Source organism: Homo sapiens, chromosome 11 (assembly GCF_000001405.40).
Source record: "Homo sapiens chromosome 11, GRCh38.p14 Primary Assembly".
Classification (NCBI taxonomy): Eukaryota; Metazoa; Chordata; class Mammalia; order Primates; family Hominidae; genus Homo; species Homo sapiens.
In genome coordinates this window covers 77,934,984-77,947,782 of record NC_000011.10, presented here as the reverse complement: position 1 = coordinate 77,947,782, position 12,799 = coordinate 77,934,984, and the positions used below count along the sequence as shown (strand labels likewise).

Sequence of the window (12,799 nt, the reverse complement as noted above, 5' to 3'; positions counted from 1 at the left end):
CTAGATTTTTTCCCTCCCCACTTCAATTTATATTTTTGTTGCCTTAATTTTCTTCTTCATCTGTTATGTGTTCCTTAGCTACTATTTGTAGCTGTTGTAGTTTTTGACCATTTTGAATTTAACCTTCATACTAGCAGATTGAAAATTTTATATGACATATTGTATCACTGGGGTTTGATCTGTTTGATTTATGAGTTTGCCTTTACTGGTGAGTTTTATACTTTTGTGTGTTTTTATGATAGTGATTATTGTCCTTTTGTTTCTAGCTGTAGCATTCAATACCTTGAATATATTAATTCTATCCCATTCTCTCTTGGTCTGCGAGGTTTCTGCTGAGAAATCTGTTGATAGTAATGGAGATTCTCTTGACAATTTTGTCTTGCAGCTTTGAAAGTCTTACTCTTTGACTTTCGATAGTTTGATTATAATGTACCTTGGAGAGGATCTTTTTGGGTTGAATGTAATTGTGAACCTTTGAACTTCCTGAATCTGGATGTCCGTATTTCTCCCACTACTTGGCAAGTTTTCAGCTATCATTTCATCAAATGGGTTTTCTGTGCCTTTCTCTTTCTCTTCTCCATCAGGCAATCTTCAATGCAAGTATTTGTTTGCCTGTTGATGTCCCATATGTTCCAAGGCTTTCTTTTTTATTCTTACTTGTTTTTTTTTTTTCCTCTTAATGGGTTATTTCGAAAGACCTGTCTTCAAGGTCAGAAATTCTTTCTTCTGCTTGATCCTAGTCTATTGTTGAAGCTCTCAATTGTATACTATTTTTATTTTTTTCATTAAATTCTTCAGTTCCAAGATTTCTGTTTGGTTCTTTTTTATGATATTGATTTCTGTTGAATTTCTCATTCGGATCATGAATGTTTTCCTGATTTCATTTAATTGTTTGTCTGTATTCTCTTGTATCTTACTGAGTTTCCTTTAGATCACTATTTTGAATTCCTTTTCAGGCATTTTGTAAGTGTCCTTTTCTTTAATGTCTGTCATTGGAGACTTTTTTCCTTTTTTTTTTTTTTGAGACAGGGTCTTGCTCTGTCACCCAGGCCGAAGTGCAGTGGCATGATCTCAGCTCACTGCAACCTTCTCCTCCTGGGTTTAAGTGATCCTCCCACCTCAGCCTGCTGAGTAGCTAGGACTACAGGCGCATGCCACCACACCCGACTAATTTTTTTATATTTTGTAGAGACGGGTTTTGCCATGTTGCCCAGAATGGTCTTGAACTCCTGAGTTCATGCTTTCTGGCTGTCTTGGCCTCCCGAAGTGCTGGGATTACAGATGTGAGCCACTGCCCCCAGCCAGGAGACTTACTGTATTCCTTTGAGGGTGTCATGTTTCCTTGATTTTCATTTATCGTGTGTAAGATACTGGATGTTGATATCTGTGCATTTAGTAGAGTAGTTGCTCTTTTCAATTTTATTGAGTAGCTAGTATATAGTAACAGTCTTTTTCTGTAGATGGTTTTAGGGTATTAGTTGGGTATGGTGTGTTGCCTTTGGTTCTGGGTGGACTCAGTGGGTGGTGTAATAATCCTTGTCAGCTTCAGCTGTAATCTTCAGCTATAATCCTAGTCATTGATGTTTGCAATTGCCTCAGTTGCCTAGGCTGTGGGAGTTTGTGATGGCAATGCTGTAGATGAGGGTACTGAGCTGATTTCTGGCCAAGACATGTACAGGCTAAAATGGCTGCCAGGCTGTCTATCTGGTTTTCCAGGGAGGCAGTAGTTGCTGCTGTGGTGGCTGTCGTGCTGGGCTCAGGCCTTTGCCGCGGTGGCCTGCTGGGCAGCTCTGTGGCTATGTAGGGAAATGGGGCTACTGCCTGGTTGGCTGTTGCTTTGGGCTAGGCTCAAATGCTTTTGTGCAGTGGGGCTGGGCAGTTTGGCAGCAGTCTATGGTAGGGGGCCAGGGCTACCACAGGACCAGTTGGACTGTGTGCTGTGGGACTGTGGGACTCTGGGACTCTATCGTGGCCAGTTTTAGGGGACAGGACCACTGAATTACCAGCTGTCAGGCAGGGCGTGGGCAGGTGGTTCTGTGATGGGTTGTGAGGGAGTGGGGCTGCCGCAGGATTGGCTTTTTGGCTGAGTACTGGCGTGTGCATACTTGGCAGCCCAGATGGTTGTATGGAACAGGGGTGTTGGGTAAAGCGCTGCCAGCTGTCTATTTGATGGCTTCCTTGCTGTGCATGTCTGCCTGTTTTCTGGATGGTTGGTAGCGCTATGTGGGGTCTGATGCTGAGATCATCGTCACTCTGTTTGACCTAGACTCTATGTGGATGGGGTTATGGTGCTGCAGGCCATCATGTGATCATGGTAGAATGATGGCGGGTTCTCAAGGATGAAGAGAGTCAGTTGCTACTGGTCCCCAGGGCAGGATGCACACTAGTAGTGAGTCTAGCTTCAACTTGGTGCCATGCTACAGCAGCTTAGGACAAGGTGGGCTCCCACTCTGAGGCAGTACAGCTGAATGATCTCTTGGCTACTCTCCAGACTGGATTTGTGGCCACTGAGGACTTAAGGACTCTCCTTTATCAAGAATTGCTGGTGCCTGTGGCAGCAGTGGGGACCACTGATAGGTATCTCTAGCTTACTTTTTCCCTGTAAGAATTTCCTCTGATTTTAAGCTGATTTTGGCAAGGGAGACAGTGTGGCAGGTAGGAAACCTCACTCCCTTCCCTGTGGTGCTATCCTGAGGCTTCCATGCTCCACAGGGATTTTGCCCTTTCTCTGGTGCTCTGCAGCATATATCTACAGTCATTTTAGTTGAAATATAGTTATTTGTTATTTTGGTCCCTTTTTGTTGTGGGTGATATGTGCCAGGTAACTCTGGTGAGCCATTTTTTTTTAAACAAATCTTCATACAGATTGAGTATCCCCTATCCAAAATGCTTGAGACCAGAAGTGTTTTGGATTTTGTTTTGTTTTGTTTTGCTTTTGGATTTTGGAATAGTTTATTTGTATTATACTTACTTGTTGGGCATCCCAAATCTGAAATATGCTCCAAAATCCAAAATGTGAAGTGCTCCAGTGAACATTTCCTTTGAGCATCATGTTGGTACTCAAAAAGTTTTGGATTTTGGAGCATTTTGGATTTCAGATTTTTGGAATTGGGATGTTGAACCTGTATAATCTTTAAATCACCTGTTCAGCAAATCGACAAACATCGAGGACAGTTTCTGTCTTCAACGAAGTTGATAGTCAGGTAGCCAGGGATAGCTAATCAGTGAATAATAATACCTGGTACTGGTAGGAAAGAGCACCAACCACAACCACAGAAGGCTTCTTGGAGGAGCTGATCTCTGAACTGAGTTTTGAAGGATGAGTAACTAGGTAGCGATGCAGAGAAAGAGAAAATATGAGCAGGGATATAAAAGCAGTACATTATCATGCATAGCAATATACTAAGCTGCAATATCATACTAAACTACAAGCAGTTTAGTGCTTTCTAGTTGCGGGGGTAATGTTCAATATAGGGGATCTGTAACGAGGTAAGTTGGAGAGGAAAACAGAAGCCAGGTTCTGCAGCAACTTAGCTTTGTAGCCTCGAGTCTATCTTGCTTAAAAAGTGAATAGTTTCCAATCCCTTTGGCTTATAGCAGTATGAAAAATTTTCTGATATGTGTTACATCAGAAAATTCAAAACCATGTAAAAGAGGTTAGCTTTTACTTATTTATAACTGCCCTATTTGTGGGGCAAAGAAACTTGAGGTCCCAGTAAGGAGATTCATGGGACTATTTAGAATACAGTCACTACTTTTATAAGCCTTAAGAAGTCATTGACCTTAAAAATTACAACATTTTCAGACTGTTAGGTTATAGACTTTTATGCCTGTAAGTCTGCCCATGACTGGTCTTTCCCAGGGTAAATGCAGATATTCCTAGTTAGTGGCAGTTTTATGTCTGATGTACTTATCACCTAGTTGCATAGACTTATGTTATTTACACCAGTTGAGCAGTTTTTGTTCTTAAAGCAGGTGTGATAATTGTTAAATATCTTGTATCTAAATTTCACATACATTTAATAAGGCTCTCAAGTGAAATGGTTTTCTCAGTGTTAAGTAAGGTTTTCATAGCATTAACTACCTAAATTTAGGTTGTTAAGTAGTGCTAGTAGTACAGTTGGAGAGATTCCATCTTAATCTAAACATATTTGTCTTGGTTAAAGTACACCAGAATGTAGCTTTTTCTCTCATTGGTGAGGTGCACTTTATAATGAACTCATTATCTTTTTGGTCCAAATCTGTTTCTCTATGTTTTCGTAAATGATGCTATCATCTGCTAAGTCATGAACCAGAGGAATTTGGGAATAGTTTTTCTATGTCTCACATCCATTGAGTCACAACTCATATCAGTTCTTCCTTCTTGACATCCCCTAAATCCATCCCTTCTCCATTTCCACTGGTCCTGCAGTAATAGACATCTCACCATTTTTCAAGTGGATTACTATGCTATAGGACTCTGTGTTTGTGGACTTAAAATGGAAAGCTTCACCTATTCTTAGGTGACATTGAAAATTTATTTCAAGTAATGATATTTAATTTTTTGGGGCACAAATTTGCATAGCACTCCCTCTGTGCTGCTGTGTTGGACGAGCGCGCAGTTGAGGGCATTGGAGGAGGGCACTGGGAATTATGGATGAAGCAACTTACTGTGAAGTCATGAAAATTTTATTCTAGTAGAAAAAAGCCAACAGCTAATGCTGGTGGTAAAGCTAGAGAGAGATTTAGGAGGTCTTAAGCGTTTATAGTTCTTATTTATAAAATTGTTGTTTGGATTTAAATGGATGTTAGATATGACATAGGCTCAGATCTATGTAACAAAAGAAAAAGTGGTTTTGAAACTACTTTAGTCAAAATAGTATGGCAGTTGTTTTTGTGGAATCATAGGAAAGGTGTTAACTTGAGTAAGGACATTCCCCAGGAACATGTAATTTTCTATGAAAAATTTGATTAGAGAAAAGATCTGAGCCTGTATAAGCATTTCCACATTTATTAACTTAGGAATTAGAGAAGATCTCAGATAAATTTCTTAATGTCTAGGACCTGCTCCAACAGCCTCTGAAACTAGTCTTTTTGCTTTCATTTTGATTCCTTATGGTCCATTAGTCATACTGTTGCAAGATGGGCTTTATGAAATATAAATCTATGTTCTCCCTTACTTGAAATGAGTAAGTTGCCTAATCTCAGCCTCAGTTCTCATCTAGAAAATGGGGATGAGAGGTATATGGGATTATTGGGAAGAATAAATTGGAAAAATATAAGTAAAATATTTTATACATTGTTAAGCTCATTAGATGTTTAACAGGGATTATGTAATAATTATTTATAAGGCAAACCCCTTACTATGGCAAATAAGGCTCTTTATTATCCTATCTGTACTGCCTCATTTTCAGGAGCCCTATCTTACGTTCCATTTGTAAAACGACTTAATATTTCCCACTTGGCATTCGCACTGTGATTTTCATTTCTCCACGTATACCTCTCCCTGCCTGTACCTTAATACTGCTTGTTCTCTCCGTTCCCATGGCATCATTCCTAGATGTGTATTACAGCATTTCATACCATATTGCAGTAATCTCTTTTCTTGTCAGTTTCCCTTACTAGTCTGTGAGATTGTTGAGTGTACAGCTGTTGTCTTTTTATTTTTGTATTCTTGTTCCTGGTAACTGTAGACATATAATTGAATGGTTGCTAAATATTTGTTTAATTGAATGCATGAATGAATGAACAGATGAATGGAAAGAAGAATGAAAAGGAGTGGAGAGTAGTTGTTAAGGGAAAGGATTTTGGAGCCTGGATTTATTTCCTAGCTCTGGAATTTATTCTTTGTGACCGTCAATATGTTATTTAATCTTTTTGTGTCTTTTCTCCATATATAAAATGGGACTAATATAGTATTTACTTCTCAGGGTTATAGTGAGGATTTAAATGAGTTAATATACGTCTAAAGCCCTTAGAATAGTACATGACACATAGTGGCCGGGCGTGGTGACTCACGCCTGTAATCCCAGCACTTTGGGAGGCCGAGGTAGGCAGATCACCTGAGGTCAGGAGTTTGAGACTAGCCTGCCCAACGTGGTGAAACCCCGTCTCTACTAAAAATTACAAATCCAAAAACAAAAAATTACAATTACAAATACAAATACAAAAAATTAGCCGGGCATGGTGGCGGGCACCTGTAATCCCAGCTACTCAGGAGGCTGAGGCAGGAGAATTGCTTGAACCTGGGTGGCAGAGGTTGCAATGAGCTGAGATCATGCCACTGCACTCCAGCCTGGGTGACAAGAGCAAAACTCCATCTCAGGAAAGAAAAAAAAAAAAAAAGCACAGTAGGTGACACATTCTAAGCTCTATTTAGGTGTTAGCTGCTGCTAATATTTTTATTTTCCTGCTGATTCAGAACCCATAGCATCTTTACTGTCATGAATAATATTATCTTTATGCACTTAAATTGTCTATAGACTCTGAATTTTAAGATAATGTTCAAATCATAAAAGTTGTTTTATATGCTCTGGATTTTTCTTTTTATAGGGCTCTATGGAGCAAGTCAGTTCTCATTTCTTGGAGCAGACCCTTGACAAGAAGCTGATGTCAGATCTGAGGGTACCTTTTATTCTTTGTTGTTTAAAGTGGGTTTCTGTAACCAATGTAGTGGGGCAGTATGCTGAGTTGTGTTGATTTAACTTAGCAGCATTTGTTAAATTAACATGATAACTGTATTACATTTTAATTTAAAATCTTAGTAAATTGAAGCAAATAACAAGTGACTTCATTAAATTTTGTATTATTGTAATGAAATACTTTGCACAGGTTATGCTTTACAAAAAAGAGGCAAGATTAATTTTCTAAGCCAGGTGCAGTGGCTCACACCTGTAATCCCAGCACTTTGGGAGGCTGAGGCAGGTGGATCACTTGTGGCCAGGAGTTTGAGACCAGCCCGGCCAACATGATGAACCCTGTCTCAACTAAACAACAAAAATTAGCTAGGTGTGGTGGCATGCGCCTGTAGTCCTAGCTACTTGGGTGACTGAGGCAGGGAATCACTTGAACCCTGGAGACCAGAGGTTGCAGTGAGCCGAGATCGCACCACTGCACTCCAGCCTAGGCAACAGAGTGGGACTCTGTCTCAAAAAACAAAACCCAAAAAACAACAACCAAAAAACCCCAGAAAACCTCAAAAGATTAATTTTCTATTTGTTAGGAACTACAAAGGCCCATTCTCATTTTGTGAGATGGTATGACATTTTAGGACTCCTTTTCAGCAGCAGTTACCATGGAAGACTGAGTAAAGCCTTTCTCCAAACAGTAACAAAATACCCCCAACCCCACGCCATTTTTTCTTCTTTTTTTTTGAAACAGGGTCTCACTCTATTGCCCAGGCTGAAATGCAGTGGCACAATCATTACTCAATGCAACTTTGATCTCTTGGGCTCAAGCATTCCTCCCACCTCACCCTCCTGAGTAGCTGGGACTACAGGCATACCTCACCATGCCCAGCTAATTTTTTTTTATCTTTAGTAGAAATGAGGTCTTGCTGTGTTCCTCATGTTGGTCTTGAACTCCTGAGCCCAGGCAATCTTCTTGCCTCTGCCTCCCAAAGTGCTGGGATTACAGATGTGAGCCATTGTGCCCGGCCCCAAATGCCTCTTATGAAATGCCCTTAGGCTTTGATTGTGATGGTTCACTAACGTGGTTTGCAGAACCAAATTTGAGTCTGAGAAAATAATATGTACATTCATTGTTAGTACCTCAATTTTGAAATTATAAAAGTGGTATTATAGAGTTGTAGAATTTTTGATAAGGGAAAGGAAAACAATTTACCCATATGCCTGCTACCCTAATATAATGACTTTGGTGATTTTGGTATATGTCTCTCAGCTCTTTTTCTTGTGCATGGTTTTTTTGTTTGTTTGTTTGTTTTGTTTTTTTTTTTTGTTTGAGACAGGGTCTCGCTCTGTCGCCCAGGCTGGAGTGCAGTGGTGTGATCTTGGTTCACTGCAACCTCTGCCTCCCGGGCTCAAGTGATCCTCTCACCTCGGCCTCCTGAGTAGCTGGGACTACAGGTGTGTACCACCACACCCGGCTAATTTTTTGTAGTTTTTTAGAGATGGGGTTTAATGAGAGGCTGATATATAAAACGGAGTGCCAGGTCATTCATTTGTGATGAGAACCATAACTGTCAAGTGGACTGGATACACTAACCAGTATATTCCACCTTAGGCAATCTCTGTGTAAAGTGAGTTTACTAGATTATTTAGTGACTGTACTGTAGCTGAAATAGAACGCAATGTTGCCAAATAGAAAAATACTTTTACTGGGACTGAAGATAATTTTTTTTTTGAGGCGGAGTCTCGCTCTGTCGCCAGGCTGGAGTGCAGTGGCATGATCTCGGCTCACTGCAACCTCCGCCTCCCGAGTAGCTGGGACTACAGGCATGTGCCACCACGCCCAGCTAATTTTTGTACTTATAGTAGAGATGGAGTTTCACCATGTTGGCCAGGATGGTCTCAATCTCCTGACCTCGTGATCAGCCTGCCTTGGCCTCCCAAAGTGCTGGGATTACAGGTGTGAGCCACCTGCTCCCTGCCCGATAATTGTTTTCTTAGAGTCAACGTATTGTCTACCCAAGATGGCTTTTGGAGGGGCACTGCCATTATTTGCCTCTCTGGCTCTCTCTTTCCTATGTTGCTGCCACAGCAAACATAACCGACTTTCTTAACACATTCTTCAGCTATCTTTATCCTCTTTAATTAGGTACTTTCAGCTATTATAGACCAGCAAGGCTTTGGTTTCATTTTAAGTTGAATTTGCATTTCTCTTGTATGAACTACTGATAATTTTTACAAACGTAACTCTCAAAGAGCAGTTTTATTTTCTGCCTTCCCATGTTCTCAGGGTTCATCTTAGTGTTCCTTCATGAACCTCCTACAATTGGTAATTGTTGTTGTCCTCTGCAGAGGAAACGTACTGCACATGAGCGTGCCAAGGAACTTTACAGTTCGGGGGAGTTTTCCAGTGGCAGAAAGTGGGGAGATGATGCTCCCAAGGAAGAAGTAGATACCGGGGCTGTGAACTTGATTGAGTCAGGAGCTTGTGGAGCTTTTGTTCATGGGTTGGAAGATGAGATGTATGGTAAGTATGACTGTATAATAGCAATAGCACTCTTTAAGTGACTGCTGTGTGTCAGGCATTATACTGGGTGATACACATGTATCGTTTCATTTAGTCCTCACAGTAACTCTGGGAAGTACTTACTATGCTTTTTATTTTACACACAGAAGAGACTGAGGCCCCAGTAGTATGAGACAATGGTAAAGAGCAAGAGATTTGGGTTCAGTCAATCTGTATTTAAATTCCAGCATTTTTATAAAACAGGGATAATAATAACTATCTTTCTGAGTTGTGAGAATTAAATGAGGTTCTGTATACATAAAGCACTTGGCATAATACACGTGCCTATTTATAATAAGCACTTAATAATTGGTAATTAAAATTGATATTAATAAAAATAATAACTTGATATTACCCAGCTAATAAGAGACAGAGCAAGATTTAAACCTAGGTATGTCTGACTGCCAAACCTTTATATGACTGATGAATATTTTATTTCACCTTCATTTTTGAAAGATATTTTTGGGCCAGGCGTGGTGGCTCACACCTGTAATCCCAGCACTTTGGGAGGCTGAGGCTGGAGGATCACTTGAGGCCAGGAGTTCAAGACCAGCCTGGTTAACATGGTGAAACCCTGGATCTACTAAAAATACAAAAAATAGCTGGTATGGTGGCATACACCTGTAATCTCAGCTGCTAGAGAGGCTCAGACACAAGAATCACTTGAACTCAGGAGGCAGAGGTTGCAGTGAGCTGAGATCGTGCCACTGCACTCCAGCCTGAGCAAGCAACAGAGCAAAACTCTGTCTCAAAAAATAAATAAATAAATAAATAAATAAATAAATAAATAAATACAGAAAGATATTTTTGTGGGAATACAATTCTAGATTAATAAGTTTTTTTTTTCCAAGAGACTTTTTTGTTTTTTGAGACAGGGTCTCACTCTGACACCCAGGCTAGAGTGTAGTGGTGTGATCACAGCTCACTGAAGCTTTGACTTCCTGGACCCAAGCAATCCTCCCACCTCAGCCTCTCGAGTAGCTGGGACCAGAAGCACGTGTCACCATGCCCGGCTAATTTTTTAATTTTTTGTAGAGACAGGGCCTCCCTATATTGTCCAAGCCAGTCTTTAACTCCTGGGCTCAAGTGATCCTTTTGCTTTGGCCTCCTAAAGTGTTGAGATTGCGGGCGTGAGCCACTGTGCATGGCCTCTACCAGTCTTTTAATGATATTGCTCCATAGTTTTCTGTTGAGAAATCTGCTGTCGTTTTTATCTTCCTCTGTATATAATGTGTCTTTTTATCTCAAGCTGCTTTTAAGATTTCTCTTTATCACTGGTTTTAAGCAATTTGATTATGATATGCCTGGGTATAGTACAGTTCATGTCATGTTTCTTTTGTTTGGAGTTTGTTGAGCTTCTTGAATCAAATAGTTTTCATCACAGTTGGAAATTTTTTTTTTGCTATTATTTCTTTCTCTCTCTTTTTTTTTCGGGGGGTGTGGCGGGGACAGAGTTTTGCCCAGGCTGAAGTGCAGTGGTGTGACCTTGGCTCACTGCAACCTCTGCATCCTGAGTTCAGACAATTCTCATGCTTCAGCTTCCCGAGTAGCTGGGACTGCAGGTGCCCGCGACCACTCTCGGCTAATTTCTGTATTTTTAGTAGAGACGGGGTTTTGCCATGTTGTCGAGGCTGGTCTCAAACTCCTGAGCTCAACTTATCTGCCCGCTTCAGCCTCCCAAAGTGCTGGGATTACAGGTGTGAGCCACCATACCCAGCCACTATTATTTTTTTTAATTTCTCTGACTCTACAGGCCCTTTGGCGACTTTCATTACGCATGCATTAGGATACTGACATTGTTTTACAGCTCACTGATGCTCTATTCTTCCTTCCTTCCTTCCTTCCTTTCTTTCTCCAGTTTTTATTTTCTCTTTGTGTTTGATTTTGGATAGTATCTATTGCTTTGTCTTTGAGCGTTGCAAGATATAATCTGATGTTAATCCCACCTAGTATATATTTCATCTCAGACATGTAGTTTCTGTCTCTAGAAGTTTGATTAGAATTTGGGTTTTTTCCATCCTGGACCACATAAGGAGACCCTATCTCTACAAAAAATTTAAAATTAGCCAGACATGGTTGTGCATGCCTTTAGTCCCAGCTACTTGGGAGGCTGAGGCAGGAGGATTGCTTGAGCGCAGGAGTTAGAGGTTGCAGGGAGCCATGATCACACAAGTGCACTCCAGTCTGGGTGACAGAGCAAGACCCTGTCTCAAAAAAAAGAAGAAAGAATTTGGGTCTTTTTAGTATCTACCATGTCTTTCTTAACATACTTAATCTTTCCTCTAGCTTTGTCAACAGATAATATGTTTATAATTGTCTTACTATCCTTGTTTACTAGGACTATTATTTCTGTGATTCGTAGGTTGGTTTTGATTGATTTTTTTCCTCCAGTATTATATATTCCATCCTGTATATATTCCATCCTGTATATATTCCATCCTGTATATATTCCATCCTTTGTCTTTTCATGTCTGATAATTTTTAATTGGATGCCAGACATTATAGATTTCACTTTATTGGATACTGAACATTATTTTATTCCTTTAAATATTTTTGAGCTTTGTTCTGGGATCCATTTTTTCAGGTCTTATACTTTGTTAGGCAGGATTAGAGTAGCATTTAGCCTACAGCTTACTTTTCTCCACTAGTGAAGCAAAAAACTCTTCTTTTGCACTACTTGAAGCGCAAAACCTCTTCTTTTCTTTTTTTTTTTTTTGAGACAGGATCTTGCTCTGTTGCTCAGGCTGGAGTGCCAAGGTACAGTCACGGCTCGCTGCAGCCTTGACCTCCTGGGCTCAAATGATCTTCCCACCTCAGCCTCCTGAGTAATTAGGACCACAGGTGGACACCACCACACCTGGCTAATTTTTGTATTTTTTGTAGAGATGGGGTTTTGCCATGTTGCCCAGGCCAGGCTTGAAGTCCTGGCCTCAAGCAATCCGGCCACCTCGGCCTCCCAGAGTTTTAGGATGACAGACGTAAGCCACCACACCTGGCTGCAAAATTCTTCTAAGTTAACTGTGGTTTTATAGGCCCTGTGTGACCTCTGGAGATTGTTTCCTCTCATTGTTTTGAGTGGTTCTTTTCCAGGCCTCAGATGGTCTCTGTCTCACAGATCAGAATTCAGCTGAAGACTTGAGGCGACCATCTGCAGATCTCCCAAGCTCTCTGTCTCTCTGTGTAGTTCTCTCCTTTCTAGTAATTTGCTCTATGAACTCTAGCCACATTGGACTTCCCAAACTCCTAGCTCAATCTTCTCAACTCAGGGAGAGAAGACCTAGTGCCTGGAGTCTCTCTAAACAGAATTGCTGTAATCATTGAGATCACCTCATTTATTTCCCATCTCTCAGGGATTGCAGTCCTTTATTGCCAGATGCCCAGTGTCTGGAATGCTGTTGTTTCATATATTTTGTCTCTGTCTCATCCTTGGAGGATAAAGCTGGTCCTCATTACTCCATCTTGTAATAGACATCCTATAAAGCCCCTGTGATTTCCATATGCTATCTGTCTCATGTACATCTCAGAATTTCAGTGCTTTGAGATGATTGACTCCAGCCTCTTCATTATCAGCAAGGGTAACAGACCTGGTGAGGTAATGTTGATTGTCCACATTTTACAGTAAATTTGT

At 40.6% G+C, this 12,799-nt stretch overlaps 1 protein-coding gene across 7 annotated transcripts in view; it reads left to right on the top strand.

Moving 5' to 3' along the window:
• Positions 1 to 12,799, top strand: part of INTS4 (integrator complex subunit 4) — a 120,307-nt gene that overhangs the window by 46,886 nt on the left and 60,622 nt on the right. For all 7 annotated transcript variants that reach the window (XR_002957208.2, XR_001748036.3, XM_017018560.3 and 4 more), the window contains exons 9-10: positions 6,532 to 6,603; positions 8,958 to 9,132. Coding sequence is in view for 5 of the 7 variants with exons in the window: in XM_017018560.3 (XP_016874049.1) it covers positions 6,532 to 6,603; positions 8,958 to 9,132 (247 nt within the window). In the remaining 2 variants the exon portion in view is untranslated. The remainder of the gene's footprint in view (positions 1 to 6,531; positions 6,604 to 8,957; positions 9,133 to 12,799) is intronic.